Source organism: Homo sapiens, chromosome 15 (genome assembly GCF_000001405.40).
Source record: "Homo sapiens chromosome 15, GRCh38.p14 Primary Assembly".
Classification (NCBI taxonomy): Eukaryota; Metazoa; Chordata; class Mammalia; order Primates; family Hominidae; genus Homo; species Homo sapiens.
In genome coordinates this window covers 93,241,514-93,258,854 of record NC_000015.10, presented here as the reverse complement: position 1 = coordinate 93,258,854, position 17,341 = coordinate 93,241,514, and the positions used below count along the sequence as shown (strand labels likewise).

The window sequence follows — 17,341 nt, the reverse complement described above, 5'->3', positions numbered from 1 at the left end:
CGGTTTCTCCCTCCTGAGTTACACCTCTCCTCTAAGCCAGACGAACTCACTTATCATTGTCTTGGGATAGTTTACACTAGTGGTTCTCTAAGTGGGTCCTGGGCCAGCAGCAGCACCTGGGAGCCCCACCCCAGACATACTGAATTAGAGACTCCCGGAGCAGAGTGAGGCCCTTGGAATCTGTGTGTTACAAGCTCTCCAGGGGATTCGGATGCAGCTCGACTCTGAGATCCCTGCTTCGCATGCGTCCAGTTTTCTAGAGGAGGAGGGTCTGTGTCTGACATCTTTTTTTTTTTTTGAGACGGAGTCTCACTTTGTTGCCCAGGCTGGAGTGCAATGGGGTGATCTCAGCTCCCCACTCCGCCTCCCAGGTTCAAGCAATTCTCCTGCCTCAGGCCCCTAAGTAGCTGGGATTACAGGCACCCGCCACCATGCCCGGCTAATTTTTGTATTTTTAGTAGAGACAGGGTTTCACCATGTTGGCCAGGCTGGTCTCGAATTCCTGACCTCAGGTTGATCTGCCCACCTCGGCCTCCCAAAGTGCTGGGATTATAGGCGTGAGCCACCACGCCTGGCCATACATGGCTTTCTTGATGGGGTGAGCAGCCCAGACTACCATCTGGTTTTCTAGAAAGGAAAAGTGGGGAAGACAGTGGACAGGATGCATTGCACATGAGAACATGATGAGGAAGGTCCTCAGATTGCCAGGGGAGGTGATGAAACTTGGCAGCCGCCCCTCAGAAATACTTCAAAGCCAGTGGGGGAGGAATGTTCCTCTCAGCAAATGAAGAAATATTCAGCTAAGCTGGGACCCAGACATGAGCTTCTGAGAAAAAATAAAGCATGTCAACACCTTCCCTACACTTCTCCTACATGGATGTGAGAGAATCAAGGAGGAGGGAGACATTTGTCTATCAATTCAGCTCAACAAACTTTTCTGAAGACCTCATTGTGCCAAGCAGATCTGGGTACATGGGGGTCCGGGGTGACCACAAGCCAACTCTGCTCTCAAGTCCTGTTGTCACACCCCGTAGGTGAGCTGACGTATTTCATCTCAGCTATTGCCATCATCATCATCCTCACTGCTGGGCTGCTATTCACAGAAATTCACAGCCTATGAGATGAGACTCACCTGTACAAGGCGTTCATCAGGCAATGTGATACATGCAGTTATTAGATGTTTGTATGTGATGAAGTAGTGAGGAGAAGAGAATGATGATTGACTATCTCAACAATCAGGCAAGGTATAACCAAGGGGAAAATACTGAGAAAGGTTTTGAAGGATAAATAGGAGTTTGCCAACCTTAAGCTAAGGTAGGACACCTGAGAATTCCTTTGTCTCCAGAAGTCTTTAAATATGGATCTATATGATGGACTCCAACATTGAAATTCATTCTTCTGGAAGATCCCTGAGAATAGCGCTTTTCAGACATTAATGTGCACACAAATCATATGGGAATCTTGTTAAATGATTCTGGTTCAGAAAATCTGGGCTAAGTCCTAAGAATTTGCACTTCTAATAAATTCTCAAGTGATGCTGATGCTGCTGGGCTACAAACCACAAGTCAAGTATCCAGGCCTAAGCAGCAGTTCTCTAGCTGTTCGTAGTCTCACTACACCCCCCACGAAGGAGATTCATTTTACAGCATTTAAGAACCGAGTCTTGAGTTAAGAGATCTGTCCCATACTACATGGTTAAGAAGTAGCAGAGCTGGGGCTGGGCGCGGTGGCTCACTCCTGTAATCCCAGCACATTGGGAGGCCAAGGCGGGCGGGTCACGAGGTCAGGAGATCGAAACCATCCTGGCTAACACAGTGAAACCCCGTCTCTACTAAAAATACAAAAAAATTAGCCGGGCGTGGTGGTGGGCGCCTGTAGTCCCAGCTACTCAGGAGGCTGAGGCAGGAGAATGGCGTGAACCTGGGAGGCGGAGCTTGCAGTGAGCCAAGATCGCGCCACTGCACTCCAACCTGGGCGACAGAGCGAGACTCCGTCTCAAAAATAAAAAATAAAAGAAAAATAAAAGAAGTGGCAGAGCTGGGATTTGAACCCAGGTCTGCCTGATTCAGGGCCACAGGGTCTCAAGCACTGTTCTCTTTACAAAAGAATGAACCTCTAATCCCCCAAACCAGAGTCTGATGTGAGACTAGCTGGCATAACGAAGCAATTCCCTCCTGAAGATCCTAGAGTCTAGCACGCGGAGAGGCCCAAGTTCCACCTGCACTGACCAAGCACAGCCAGGTTCAGGGACTTTAAAAAACCAATTCAAATCCATGACTTTTCCTACCAGAAGAAACTGTCATTTGGCCTCTTTCATGTAGCAGTGGGCCATGCAGTCCTTGGACAACAGAGCAATCAGGTACAGAGGGAGAAAACAGAGCATGGCCCATGAGGGCTGTTCTGGCCCTGCCAGGCGCAGTGGCTCATGCCTGTAATCCCAGCACTTTGGGAGGCTGAGGTGGGTAGATCACCAGAGGTCAGGAGTTTGAGACTCACCTGGCCCCATCTTTACTAAAAGTACAAAAATTAGCTGGGCGTGGTGGCACTTGCCTGTAATCCCAGCTACTCGGGAGGCTGAGGCGGGAGAATCGCTTGAACTGGGGAGGCAGAAGTTGCAGTGAGCTGAGATCATGCCACTGCACTCCAGCCTGGGGAAGAGTGAGACTCTGTCTCAAAAAAAAAAAAAAAAAAAAAAAAAATCCTGGCCATATGCAGAGCCAACTACATTACTTGCAGAGTTTGATGCGAAATGAAAATGCAAAACCCTTTGTTCAAAAAAAAAGCAGGGAAAGAGTTCTTCCTTTCTCTACAGTCTCTCTCTCAAGCTGTCATGGTATTTTTATTTGCTATTTAATGGTGTGCCCCCTCGGGCATGGGATTCACCTGTGTGGCAGGTGCAGTCCCTCATAGTTGCCCAGGGCCTGCCTCATGGCTCTGTGCATGGGGCATGCCTGCCAGGCTGGCATCCTGATCCAGGGCCCCTGAAGATGGGGGTGGCAGCAGTTGCCAGGAGGGAGTGAGGAAGCAAAACCCTTACAGGGTAAGTGGGGAGGTGCAAAATAGGGCGGCAGGCCCAGGCAGGAGTCGAGGCTCCAAGCCTGCTGCATGCTCCATTGTCCCATGGGACTTTGCTTACAAAACACACACTCAAAAATAAAATTACTAAGAATTTCAAGATGGTGAGCATAGGGCATTACACCTGGAGTGTGGAGTCCTACGTGACTACACTGGTAACATACCCACAAGGCCCTGCCCTACCTTGGTTTAGAGACACCTAGCCTTGAGCAGGTGGCTTGACCTTTCCAAGCCTCAGTTTCCTCATCTGCAGATAAGCATGAAAATACCTACTTCGGCCAGGCATCGTGGCTCACACTTGTAATCTCAGCACTTTGGGAGGCCAAGGTGGGCGGATCATGAGGTCAGGAGATCGAGACCATCCTGGCTAACATGGTGAAACCCCATCTCTACTAAAAATACAAAAAATTAGCCAGGCATGCTGGCGGGTGCCTGTAGTCCCAGCTACTCGGGAGGCTGAGGCAGGAGAATGTCGTGAACCCGGGAGGTGGAGCTTGCAGTGAGCCGATATCACGCCACTGCACTCTAGCCTGGGCGACAGAGCGAGACTCTGTCTCAAAAAAAAAAAAAACACAAAACCCTACTTCAGGTGACTGTGAGATTTCAGGAGATAACAGGGAAGTAGTGAGATGAAAGACCAGTGGATTTTTCTGTATCTAGTCCTTGGCACAATGACACGTGTTCCCCTGCACAGGACTCATTTGCAGCTCATCCTGACTGTGCACCTCCCCACAGGGGCCTGGCAGCCCTGGAGCTGGTCTACAACCTATTCAGGGAGATGAGCCCCTGATCACATCTTCAGAGGTCTGGCAATATCGAGATGCTATGGAAATTCCTAAGCACTCTATCTCCGTACTTCTCCTGCCAACCCATTAACAAATAGCTCTCAGGAAGCACTGGTCCATGGAACATACTTAGAGGAGCACCGACGTAAAGTGTCTCCGACACTCCAAAAGTGATGGGGATTCTTGCATTTCTTTGGCCAGAGCTGCCTTCAGGAGAGTGGTTCTCAACTGCACATAGAAGCCCCCTGAGAAGCCACAAGCATCCCCACGCCCCTGCCTCCCCCACCTCCAACAGCTAAATCAGAGTGTCTGGGGAAGAGGAAGCCAGTCCTTAGTAGTGTCTAAAGTTCCCCCAGGTGATCCCAATATGAGCCCGGGCAACAGAGCACCACTGATGATGATGTATGAGGGCTGCGCATCATCCCTCCTGGGGATGCTATTATCACCCGCTTTGACAGGACAGAAAACAAAGAGAGAAGTAAGTGGCTTTCCAGGACCATGCAGTTAGATGTGTGCACCACCCTGGCCCTCACTTTGCAAAGCAGCAATAGCCTCCCCTGGGAGCTTGTTAGAATTGAATCTTAAATGGTTTAATAAAATTATTTGACCCTCCCCATCATCCACAAAAATGTCAATATCCAGAGAAGTGCCCCCTTTTGCTCAGCTGTTCTACTGCTCTGTGACATCCAAGAGTGTCTCAGAACAGAAGCCGGCATCTGAGGCAGAAAGCCCTGGGTGTGTCAGCGGCCCCCCAGCTGCCCAGCTGTTGACAGTCTCCCCCGTGTTCTAACCCCAGGTTCCCCGGTCTGTTCCAGCTGTAGCCAGTAACAGCACCTACGCCTCTTCAGGAGGCCATGGGCACAAGGAGGAAAGCTCTCTGTTCAGCTGACTTCAATGACCATCAGCAGCCACTGACCCAACAGCCATGAAAAGCACTCCAGCCATTAAGTATCAAACCCAGCCAGGGACTAAGAGTTTCCCCATCTCTCCTGGCAAGAGGCTGTTCCCGCATTTCTTGTGACAGATGTGGCTCTTACTTTGATCCCACTCTCCAAAAAGGACTGTGGACCTTCTCCAAGCCCTTTGTTCCCAGAGGGGGTTAGCAAGGAATCCGCGGAGCTGCTGTGGGAAGCTATCTGGGCATAATCCCTTGTGGAAAAGGCAGCTGGCCCTCCAGCTGGGCCCAGGTGGTGAGGATGCAGGCCTGAGATGGGCTGGGGTGAACTCTGCACAGCCAGATGAACCTCCTGTTCTGCAGGCCTTCAGTGCAGCCCCTCAGGAGCCAAAGCCTCCACTCTCCCAGCCCCATGGAGACGGCGCAAGGGCTCACCACTTCTCACCCGGGACTTTTTCCCTTTTGACAATATGAACCAGCTGGTGTGAGGGATCCCAGTGCAGCAGGGCACACGGCATATGTAGGTCCCCCACCGCATGGAGACTTTGGTGCTCCGGATGGCAAGGGCTACACCACGGCTTCTCAAACTTCTTTGTGCACGCCAGTCACTGGAGCTCTCGTTCTAATGCAGAATTGGATTCAGGAGGTGGAGGGGAGGGGGCTGAGATTCTGCATTTCTAACAAGCTTCTAGATGATTCCAGACTACTAGTCCATGGACCACACTTTGAATATGGAGGGCTCAGGTTTGAATTCTTCTCTGGACCATTCATGACTGCATGGCCTTGAGAAAGGTATTTAACTCTCAGAACCTCTGTTTCCTCTTCCTCAAGATGGAGCAATAATCAGCATCTACCCTATAGAGTGCAAGGCAGCCAAGCTCCTGAGTGGGTGAAGGGCGGGGCTGGAGTTTAATCCCAGGCAATGCCTTCAGCAAAGCGAGAGAAAGACCCCCTGTAAGGAACCAACATTATTCTTTCCCCAGGTGATGGGGCAGGTGGGTTTAGAATCAAGCAGACCTGAACGCACTCTGAGTCTGAAGCCACTCCTCTGTAACTTATGGACAACAAAACTTATGTAAGTTTTGTTGCTGGGAAGAGGAAGGAAGGAAGGAAGGAAAGGGTGGGAGGACTTTAAGTCAACTGCTTAGCACAGGACTGAGCACTCAAATGTTTGTTTCCTTTTCCTATGTTAGCTTCCTGTTTTTCTGTTGGTTTTCCATTTTTATCTCTCCAGAGAAAATGCAACCATTAATCCAACAGGGTCAACTAGGAGTTTCTGAGGATTATCATTCAATGACCATGAGCATGAATGCTTGTCTCCAAATCACACTTACTAGTAAGGATCCTTTCATTACTAGTGATAGAAACCCCCACTCTCACTTCAGGATATTATGGCTCCCTTAAGTGAACACTCCATCGGGGTTCAGGCACAGCTGGATCTAGGTACCTAAGTGATAGTGTCAGGGATGTGTCTCCATCTTTTTGTTCTGCTTTCCTTAGCATTGGCCTCATTCCCAGATAGGCTCTCTGAGTGTGGTAACAAAGATGACCTCCAGCAGCTCCAGGTTGGCTGACCTGGCATAAAAAGATCCTCTTTGCCAAACAATCCACAAAGAGTTCCAGGACTAATTCTTATCGGCCCACGCAAAGTGATGTGTCTGTCCTAAGTAACCTGCTCAGCTCTGTGTGACATGTCCATCCTGGAAGCGGGGTGGGAGCCCGTATGGTAGACGCACCTGACAGTGATGACTTGAGCATACCCTGAGAATGACCCTGCATGGCAGATGCACCTGAATGTTTGTTAGTGTTCCAAGGATCCTAAGGAATGGGAGGGGCCAACCCTTATCCATTCCTTAGCTACGAGAAACCTCTGAGCCCCCAGCCTGACGCATGGAACGTAAAGGGCCCGTGCAGGACATTGAGGCCCTTTGTTTTGAGTTAAACGAGGGTTGCCAGGTGGAGATTGTTACAGGGAGGGTGCTAGGTGAAAATGCTGTACAAACCACATGCTTTTGGAAGCAGTTGTGGTTCTCCTGCCCAGCCCACCACCACTGGACCACTGTGTATGTAAGCTTCCTGCTAATAAAACCCCATGTCTCATTTGAGGACTCTGGGTCTCTTCCTCATCCTCCTGAACCTAATGCCTTCCCTACCGAAGTTAATAGGAGCCCAGCACAACAGAGACTAGCCCCCGGATCATTTTGACAGGGTAAATGGGAGGTATATTAATTTGCTAGGGCTGCCATAACAAATACCACAAACTGGAGGACTTAAACAACAGAAATGCATCTTCTCCCAGTCCTGGAGGCCAGAAGCCCAACATCAAGGTGTCCAAAGAGTTGGTTCCTGCTGGAGGTTCTGAGGCAGAGCCCGTTCCAGGCCTCTCTCCTAGCTCCTGGAGGCGCTGACAATCCCGATCCTCCGTGTTCTTTCCCTTCCAGTTATTTCATTCCAGTCTCTGCCTCTCCTTCCTTCTCTGTGTCTTCTCATGGTAACACCAGTCCTTGAACTTAGGACCCCCCCTAATCCAGGATGACCTCATCCTAGCTATATCCACAAAGACTCTTATTTCCAAATAAAGTCACATGCTGAGCTTCCGAGTAGACATGAATTGGGGTGGGGAGGGAGGCATTATTCAACCCGGTATAGGTGGTGAACCAGAAGAAAAATTGAGTATGGATACCAGAAAAAAGAAAGTATGGATGCTTGGCAGGCAAAATATAAAGCCAACAGATGTCCACAATACCACATAAGTCACCCATCATCAAACTGTCAAAATCGAAGAGATCTTAAGCAAATCTGTTGTCCCGCTACCTAGTAACAACTGTGTCTAGTTAACTCCACAAGGAAAATCCCACAGGGGACGCAGTTCCACAGCAACCAGGAATCTCTCTTCGATGGGAGTGTTTTTTAGAAGCTGAGCTAAATTTGTAACTGGAATTCTCTTCAAGTTAACTTACCGCCTGCCCCCTGTGCTGACTTCACATATGTCCAAAATACTGAGAGCTCTAGCCCTCCAGGGAATTCGACTTCCGGCCCACAGAGTGTAGCCACATCTAAAAATGTCAGGATGCTTCGTGAAGGCAAAGTCAACTATTTCTGCATCTCCATCCTCAGGAAACCTATCCTCCTACTTGGCTCAATGGGCCTGTCTTCTCAGAATTATCATCACTAAGACAGTTAGAGATTTTACTTTTTTTTTTTCTCACTTGTAGAAGAAAATTCAAATTTCAGTTTCTTGTGGGGAAAAAAATGTAGAAGAATATAAGCCAAACTCTTACCAGCGGTTATCTCTGGAAGGTGAAAAAAAGAGAGTTCCAATGGAGTATAAGTTATGTTTGAAATAAGAAAAATACATACAGACACTTTTAAATTAAAAATAGCTGCTATTAGTTCTGTTAAACCCATTAACGGACTTTATGCTGTAGTGCTAACAGCCATTGACATGATACACAAGTAGCAAAATTTCTCCCCTAACAATGACAAAAACAAAATCTAAGCACAACAAAAGCAGTGAAAACAGAAAAGTCCATGTGAAAAAAATCCAAGGCAAACGACATTTATCATTTCAATTTCCTTAAAGGAGCAATGATTTTCCATTTGATGTAGTGATAATTCCTGGGGACCTGAGACCTTGGACAAGGGTTAAGAGTCCAAGGGGTGAGTCACACTTCCCAGCTGTGTGACCCTAGGCAAGTCACTTTGCCCCTATGGGCTCAGCTTCCTCATTTTCTAAAAATATCCCCACGAACTCATTTATATAGTCATTGTAACAATCAAATTGATCCACCTATGGGAAGGAGCTTTGAAAACATGATAAACATTATATGGGATTATTAAAAAAATTCTTAATTATTTAAGCATATGTGGCATCCTTCCAGACCCCAATAAAGTACATAAACAAAGGTAGTCCTTTCCCTCAAAATGATGGCTTTTGTTTAACCTCAGTGCCAAAGGCTAAAATCTTCATACTCCTCAGTCTGAGAGCTGTAACCATGCAAGGTTTTACTCTTATTATTTATTTATTGTCTTCAAGCTCCATCCCCTCACTCCCTTTCCCCTCCCCAGATTCAAGCTCCATCCCCTCACTCCCTTTCCCCTCCCCCTGCCTCTGGGCAACCTTCATTCTCTTTAATAGAGTGCTTTTTGCACATATTCCTTAAAAGCTGTATATATTTGTATGGGTGTATCTCTAATCTATGTAAATGGCATAGATAATTCATTTTGCTTCCTAGAGTTCTCACTAACACTGCGTTGTTGAGATCCAGCGATGTCGCTGTTGGCTGGCTGATCTGTTTCCTGTAATTGATGCGTCAAACTTCATGTGCATCCACAGCACTTTGTCAGCCTCATCTCTTAGCTGAGAGAGAATTCCATACTTCTACAAATGACACAGCAAAGAACATCTTTGTTCGAGGATCCGGGTTGATGTAGCCTCTTTGGGTAGGCAATACTCAATTCGCATGCTCTCCAATCCAGTCTCCTCGTAGCAGTGAGGGGAGGCTCCTGGATCTCCCACCACACTTGGCACTATCCAGCTTTCTAATAAAGATATAGTCTAACAGATGTAAAGTGGTAGCTTGTGGCTGTTTAATTTTCATCTGATTACTAAGATATTAAGCACCTCATCATGTGTTTATTATTTGAGATGGGAGGTTTTTCTGCTAAAAATTGCCTCATTCTATCCTTTTCCCATTTTGTTAGAAGTTGCCATCTTTTTTTCCTGTGGATTTGAGGATTTTCCTGAGTAAAGACCTTCTCCCATTTCTGTCATCTATTATAAACTCTGTCCAGGGACTGGACCAGAAATCCTTAATATCAATGTAAGCAAATCCACCTCTTTTCTGCCTTATGGTTTGGCTCTTCCTATTAGCACCACCTAGTAAGCAAAACTCGCCTTGTGGCTTAAGCTCTCCTGTTGCCCTAAAGATGGAATGCAAGCACCTCACACTGATACACAGGGCCCTTTTAATCCCAACCTTGCCTGCCTCTTTTCTGTTACCAAAGTCCACTCTTCCATCCACAACTCTGCCTTGCATGTACTGTCGCTGTTCTCACTTTTTTTTTTTTTTTGAGATGGAGTCTCGCTCTGTTGTCCAGGCTGGAGTGCAGTGGCGCGATCTCGGCTCACTGCAAGCTCCGCCTCCCGGGTCCACGCCATTCTCCTGCCTCAGCCTTCCCAGTAGCTGGGACTACAGGCACCCGCCACCACGCCCGGCTAATTTTTTGTATTTTTAGTAGAGACGGGGTTTCACTGTGTTAGCCAGGATGGTCTTGATCTCCTGACCTCGTGATCTGCCTGCCTTGGCCTCCCAAAGTGCTGGGATTACAGGCGTGAGCCACCACACCCGGCCCTCTCACTTTTAAGATTCCCTTGTTTCTCTTCTTCAGCCTGTAAATGTGAAGATTCTTTCAAGTGTCACTTCGCTTGTGAGTATTTGGGGTGTCTTTTTTTTTTTTCTTAGAGTCTTGCTCTGTCACCCAGGCTGGAGTGTAGTGGCTCGATCTTGGCTCACTGCAACCTCCGCCTCCTGGGTTCAAGCGATTCTCCTGCCTCAGCCTCCCAAGTAACTGGGATTCCAGGTGCACACCACTATACCCGGCTAATTTTTGTATTTTTAGTAGAGACGGGGTTTCACCATGTTGGCCAGGCTGGCCTTGAACTCCTGACCTCAGGTGATCCACCAGCCTTGGCCTCCCAAAGTGCTGGGATTACAGGCATGAGCCACCGTGCCCGGCTTGGGGTGTCTTTTCAACTCAGTACAGCATTGATATTTGCACATTTAACCAATGTGGTTTCTACTTTGGGAAATAAATCCTCATGGCCCAGAACATGTTACTGTTATTATATCACTAAGTAGTGCCTAGTTAGAAGAAGAGATACTCACCTGTTCATGTTACAGGTGCAGAAGCTAAGCCTTCATCAATGCCAGTGCCAGACACACATTAAAGGCGGCAAAACATTTTGTTCAGTCTACTGCCTTAGAGGAAAGAGACTCCAATATAACTGAGCTCAAATCCAGCTAGGACAAAGGTATGGAGGTTTCTAAAGGGAGAACAGAGAGGGAACTAAAAGGGATTATGGGGAAGTGAAAGGAGGGAATAAAAAAAAAACAGACTAGAGGGGCTATGGGGAAATGGAAAATTACATAAAGGGGGATGGGTGGAAAATTACTAAAAATTATTTGGCAAGACAACAGTATCTGTTGGGCAATAGAGATTCTGCAGCTTGACAGCATTGCAATTTTTTGAGCCCAAACGCAGCACCAGGCTGGGGTCAGTAGCCCTCAGAATCACGGCGAGTGCAGGTGGAAGCCAGGATAAAGTTAAGACAAGCCTCCCAGTGTGGCGTTCAGGCAACTGCTTTGTGCCACGTGGGACATGCTTAGGTAACCTGCATGTGGCTGAACGATCGACCGGTGTCAAAGCCTAGGTTTAAACACAAGTCGGCCTGACCACAATGTCTGAAGTCAACCCCCGTGTTACTTAGGTCGGCATTTGTAATGTTGCTGAGGTGTGGCGTGAGCCCCATGGAAGGCTTGTGAGCGGGAGGGAGTCATTTCACTAGTGAGGCTGCCCCACCGCCCTCAGCTTCATGGTTACCTCTGGTCCTGAGGTAACAGGAAGTCTTGTGAAGAAGAGCACTTTGTAGAAATTTGCCAGTTGAGACTCCAAAAAAACAGCCTGGTGAAATAGGTGAGTGATTACTTTGAGATGGAAGAATATGCAAGAACTACTTGCTTCTTGATGGGAATGTAATTTAGGAAAAAGGCAAAACATTCATTTCACAAACATGGAAACTTTCGTAAGTTTCTGGAAGTTTCTAGAAGTCCTCTCAACCTTCACTGAGATACAGTGAACTCTTTGAATGGGTTTTGGCAAAAAAGAAAGAAAAGCAAGTGTCATTGTTTCCATATGAACATCAGCCGTGAGACACTCCATTGTAAGGCACACTTTCAGCAAAAAGAGACATTAGCAACACTCCTCTCTGTGGCAGAGAACAACAGGTTGTAAAACTTAAGTCCCCCTCAGAGTCTAATTTAGATAATTATAGTTTGCCTCCTAGGACTCTCCCTGAGGATCCAGCTGGCTTTGGCTGTCATCATTACTGCTATTCTTCTAAATTACTGGGCAGGGCAGGATGACGAGGCTGCGCCTGACGCAGGGAGAGCCTAGGAGGAAAGGTGTTCCTCCATCAGCGGCTCGTCCCTGTCTGACAAAAACCATTATTTTGTACAGAGCACAACGCACCCACACTCGGTGTAACAGAAGCAGAAAAATCAGCAAGGGTTTTATGTGGTTTTTCCTGTCGCTCGGCCTTTCCAAAATGAGACAGACCTCCTGCACTCTCCTGGAACCTTACATGCTCCTTCGCAATAGACCTGATTCAGGAACACCAGCTGAGCTGACTCGGAAGCCACATCACATAGAAGCTAAGAACACCTTGTCAAAGCCCGACTGTGTGGGTTCCTATCCTGGTTCTGCCACTCTGGGGTGTGTGATGTGGACCAAACTCTTCTCCCTTCGTGTGCCAGAGAGTCCTCGTCTGTGACATGGGGATAATAGCAATGCCTTCCTCACGGGAGTCACGAGGAGCAACTGAATTCACCGCACACAGAGGAGAGCCTGGCCCCTTGCAAACACGCTCCACAGCGTCTGCTCCTACCAGTCCCTCAGAATCAGGTCATGAGTCTCTCTGAGCCGGGCTGCGGCCAGCGGTGTGCAGTTATCACAAATGACGACAGCAGCAGGTACACGTATGCTGCTGTGAACACAGGAGATGTTATGAAGAGTAGCAAGTCCCTGGGATGTGGAGAAAAGACTGGGCTGCAGGATCCAGAAAAGGACGTGTCCCATGCCTGTAAGAGTCTCAGGCCACATGCCTCCCCCTTTTATGCCTCCATTTCCCCATCTGAAAAATGTTCCAATTGAAATACATCATTTCTTAACTCTCACACTTCCATCCTAAGACTTCCATCCACTGCCTGGGCCTGGCTGAGATGTCCTTGCAGTCAGCTTTATAGTCATCCCAACGTGTGCTGTTGGTATCTAGGTTGGAAATAAATTGCCTGGAATAAAGACTTGATTGTGAAACCTAGGAAGGAGCCACTGAGAGACCTCCCAGAGTGTTGCTGAGATTCGAGACAGGACGGGGATGAAGGGAGTGGATTCCTCAGGCTGTCTGACAACAGACAGAGAGAGGAAAAGCATGTGCCAGAATGCTTTTCATAAATCAAGAGCAGAAGGGCCATTCAGAGACCCCCTCGGGGACCTGACATCATCCTTGCCATAACCCCAGGTGGCTGCAAAATACCGAGTCTTTTGGTCTCTTAGAGATAGACAGGCTGAGGGGCCACCCAAGAGCATGCTTCTGACCTATTTGTCCTCAGCGCTGGAAGACTCAATGCTGTTGTCTCTGCTGGCCCCCATGACAACCAGATTAGACAATCAATCTAACCGTCAGTGAAATCTACTCATTATTGGATTCTGCCCAGCCTTCCTTGGATGGGAGTTGCAGCCTGATAGCAAAAAGAAATGAACTAGACCTGAGAAGGACAGGGCCAAGGCCAAGATGAACCCAGGGAGCCGGCGTCCAAGTTGGAAGAGGAAGGTGTGCGTACTTTGAGTTCAAGGGCGGGCGTCCAAGGCTGCCCAGATTCCGCACGCATCTGCACCCTGCCTTTCAGTTAACACAGCGGAGAGAGTGAGGCAAACACCTCCAGACAGTACCCTCCAGCATAGAGAGGAGCCTCCTTACAATGGGAATGGGCAGCTCCGAGCCCCTGCTGTCCAGGGCAGGAGCTCTGGGTACAGAAGCCATCAAGACCTGCACAACCACAGAGAGAAGCCACCAGATCCCCACCGCCACCCCGCAGGCAGTGTGGGGGCTGCGCCTAGTGCTGCCTCAGCCGGATCTCCTCTGCCCCACTCGGCGCAAGAAGAGAACCCACAGGTGTGGGAGGAGAGGGCCGCAGACCCACCCCTCCCAACACCAGACTCAGCTCAGTGCCCTCTGGCACCTAGAAAAGTGCCCAGCATACACTGGCCATGCAGCAAATAGTGGCAAGGAAGGGCAGATTCCAACATCCTGGTCCTCTGCGTGGTCTTGGACAACAGGCTTTACCTCTCTGAGTCTCAGTCCCCGCTCTAAAAACTGTCATGATGATGATAATATCTGCCCGAGTGTAAGAAGAGACGGAATGGCAAATGCATGGAAAACCACTCAGGCGACTGGAAACACTCCACAAAGCAAAGGATTAAAGATTAGAAAACTGTCTCCTCCACATGCGAACCTGAGGACCTTAAGTTAAGGGAAATAAGCCAAGCACAGAAACACAAACACCGCGTGATCTCACTTACATGTGGAATCTAAAAAGCTGAAGGCATGAAAGTACAGCGCAGGATGGTGGTTACGAGGGGCTGCCGGGAGGGAGAGGTTTGGAGAGATGTTGGTTAAAGGGTACAAAATTTCTATTAGGAATAATAAAAATAAAATTTCTATTAGGAATAATAAAAATAAAATTTCTATTAGGAATAATAAAAATAAAATTTCTATTAGGAGCAAAAAGTTCAACAGTTCTATTGCACAACATGGTGACTATATTAATAACAACGTATTTTACTCCTGAAAATTGCTAAGAGAGTAGATATTAAGTCTCACCATAAAAATATGATGTGCATGTGAGGTAATGCCTATCTTAAGGGGCTCAGTGGAGCCACTCCACAATGTATACATATTTTAAAGCAACATGTATGCAATAAACATATACAATTTTTTGTCAACTAAAACATTTTTTAAAAAAGAAAATTATCTCCTCATTCCTCTCAAATATGCCCAGATAATATTCTGTGGCCAAACAAGTAAAATTCTGTTTCCTCACTTTCATCTCTTAAACTGACCACAATCTGGGCTCATCATCATCATTATTATTATTATTATTTTTGGAGACAGAATCTCACTCTGTTGCCCAGGCTGGAGTGCAGTGGCGCTATCTCGGTTCACTGCAACCTCTGCCTCTCAGGTTCAAGCAATTCTCGTGCCTCAGCCTCCTGAGTAGCTGGGATTACAAGTGCCCACAACTACACCTGACTAATTTGGCTAATTTTTTATATTTTAGTAGAGACAGGGTTTCACCATGTTGCCCAGGCTGGTCTCAAACTCCTGACCTCCGGTGATCCACCCACCTCAGCCTCCCAAAGGGTTGGGATTACAGGCGTTAGCCACTGCGCCTGGCCTGGGCTAATAATTAACATACACACATCTCAGACAAACACGCACTCAGACACACACACACACACACACACACACACACACACATTCTCTCTCTCTCCCTCTCTTTGCCACCTCGCTCACACACACACACACACACAATTCTCTCTCTCCATCTCTTTGCCACCTTGCACACACACACACACACACACATTCTCTCTCCCTATCTCTTTGCCACCTCGCTCACACGCACACACACACACATTCTCTCTCTCCCTATCTTTGCCACGTCGCTCACACACACACACACACACACACACATTCTCTCTCTCTCTCCGTCTCTATCTCTTTGCCACCACACACACACACACACATTCTCTCTCTCCCTCTCTCTTTGCCACCTCGCTCACACACACACACACACACACATTCTCTCTCTCTCCATCTCTTTGCCACCTTGCTCACACACACACACACATTCTCTATCTCTTTGCCACCTCACTCACACACACACACACATTCTCTCTCTCCATCTCTTTGCCACCTCGCTCTCACACACACACACACACATTCTCTCTCTCCCTATCTCTTTGCCACCTCGCTCACACACACACACACACACTCTCCCTTTCTCTTTGCCACCTCGCTCACACACACACACACACATTCTCTCTCTCCCTTTCTCTTTGCCACCTCGCTCACACACACACACACCCATTCTCTCTCTCCCTTTCTCTTTGCCACCTCACTCACACACACACACACACACACACATTCTCTCTCCCTCTCTTTCTATCTCTTTGCCACCTCACACACACAAACACACACACATTCTCTCCCTCTCTCTTTGCCACCTCGCTCACACATACACACATTCTCTCTCCCTCTCTGCCACCTCGCTCACACACACACACACACATTCTCTCCCTCTTTCTATCTCTTTGCCACCTCGCTCACACACACACACACACACACACTCTCTCTCTCCCTTTCTATCTCTTTGCCACCTCGCTCACACACACACACACACACATTCTCTCTCTCTCCCTATCTCTTTGCCACCTCGCTCACACACACACACACACTCTCTCTCTCTCCCTATCTCTTTGCCACCTCGCTCACACACACACACACACACACACACATTCTCTCTCTCTCCCTATCTCTTTGCCACCTCGCTCACACACACACACACACACACATTCTCTCTCTCTCTCTTTCTCTTTGCCACCTCGCTCACACACACACACACACACACACACACAATTCTCTCTCTCTCCCTCTCTCTCTATCTCTTTGCCACCTCGCTCTGGTCGCTCCCCAGGATTCTATCGCAGTCAATGGCACCAGCATCCATTTGGTCCATGAGGCAGCACCCAGGGGCTCATGACTGACACTGTTTCCCACTCCCTGCCCGAATTTCAAATCTTGAGTCCATTCTACCCCCGGCAGGGCTTCCCAACCCCTTCTCCCACCCTGGCCTTGGACTCCGTCCTCTTGCCTGGAGTATTCCAGTTGCCTCCAAGCAGGCCCTGGCATCTGCTCCTGCCCGGCACCTCCATTCTCCCAGCTCTGATCAGGGTGATCTTTCTGGATGGCACCTCTGACCCTGTCACTTCTTCAAAGTCCTCCTGCCATTCAGCATCAAGAAGGGCCTGGCCAACTTGGCCCCCCCTACCCTTCCTCCTGGGCCTCTTCCCCAAATACTGCCCCCTCTGCTTTCCTGACTCTGTGGAATGAGCCTTTGTTCAGACCTTCAAAGACACAGGCTCCTCTTGCCTCAGGGGTTTGCAGACACTCTTCTCTCTGGCAGGAACCTGCTGGTCCTCCCTGCTCCACCTGGGAAGCCTTATTCTTCCCTCCGATTTCCATGCAAATGTTTTCCCCCCGGGGGATCTTTCTCTAACCACAGCCCTATCCCCACCCCATACTTGCCCAACCCTGGGGAGGAACCGCTCTTTTGGCCCCCTTTGGCATTTACCCACAGTTTTTAATTATACATTTGGGTGATTTTTCTTACCTAGGTCTCCACCCCCAGAAGAAAACCCCGGGAGGCGGAACTGCCTCAATTCTCTTCACCTCTGTAACTTAGAGCGCGGCCGGGAGCTTGCTAGGCAATGATGGCTGCAGTAACCCCTTGGAAATCAAAACCTTTTTATTGTTATTTTATCCTTTTTAAAAACTCTGCCTATAAATAATTGTATCTGATGTGAAATGGCCTTCGAGGAACTAGGGCTGCTTGCCATGGATCTGAGGAGATGGTTCTCAAACACGGCAGCGCGGTACAGCAGCAGGGAGCTTTCAAAAAACACCGAAGCCCAACTCCCATCCCCAGACAGTTTGTTTTAAATGGTTTAAGTGGGATCGGGCCCTACA

The 17,341-nt window shown here is 48.3% G+C and overlaps 1 long non-coding RNA gene across 1 annotated transcript in view, besides 5 other annotated features; it reads right to left on the bottom strand.

The window, feature by feature from the left end:
* Positions 1-17,341, bottom strand: part of LOC105370982 (uncharacterized) — a 171,228-nt gene that overhangs the window by 124,836 nt on the left and 29,051 nt on the right. The gene's annotated exons all lie outside the window — the stretch shown is intronic.
* Positions 4,636-5,135: an enhancer, noted in NCBI's record as "H3K4me1 hESC enhancer chr15:93796949-93797448 (GRCh37/hg19 assembly coordinates)". NCBI's record gives its function as "activates a minimal SCP1, AML or CMV promoter by ChIP-STARR-seq in naive H9 embryonic stem cells {active_cell/tissue: H9 hESC(naive)}" and the evidence as "EXISTENCE:reporter gene assay evidence [ECO:0000049][PMID:30033119]".
* Positions 5,136-5,637: an enhancer, noted in NCBI's record as "H3K4me1 hESC enhancer chr15:93796447-93796948 (GRCh37/hg19 assembly coordinates)". NCBI's record gives its function as "activates a minimal SCP1, AML or CMV promoter by ChIP-STARR-seq in naive H9 embryonic stem cells {active_cell/tissue: H9 hESC(naive)}" and the evidence as "EXISTENCE:reporter gene assay evidence [ECO:0000049][PMID:30033119]".
* Positions 13,074-13,581: an enhancer, noted in NCBI's record as "H3K4me1 hESC enhancer chr15:93788503-93789010 (GRCh37/hg19 assembly coordinates)". NCBI's record gives its function as "activates a minimal SCP1, AML or CMV promoter by ChIP-STARR-seq in primed H9 embryonic stem cells {active_cell/tissue: H9 hESC(primed)}" and the evidence as "EXISTENCE:reporter gene assay evidence [ECO:0000049][PMID:30033119]".
* Positions 13,582-14,091: an enhancer, noted in NCBI's record as "H3K4me1 hESC enhancer chr15:93787993-93788502 (GRCh37/hg19 assembly coordinates)". NCBI's record gives its function as "activates a minimal SCP1, AML or CMV promoter by ChIP-STARR-seq in primed H9 embryonic stem cells {active_cell/tissue: H9 hESC(primed)}" and the evidence as "EXISTENCE:reporter gene assay evidence [ECO:0000049][PMID:30033119]".
* Positions 16,430-16,974: an enhancer, noted in NCBI's record as "OCT4-NANOG-H3K27ac-H3K4me1 hESC enhancer chr15:93785110-93785654 (GRCh37/hg19 assembly coordinates)". NCBI's record gives its function as "activates a minimal SCP1, AML or CMV promoter by ChIP-STARR-seq in naive H9 embryonic stem cells {active_cell/tissue: H9 hESC(naive)}" and the evidence as "EXISTENCE:reporter gene assay evidence [ECO:0000049][PMID:30033119]".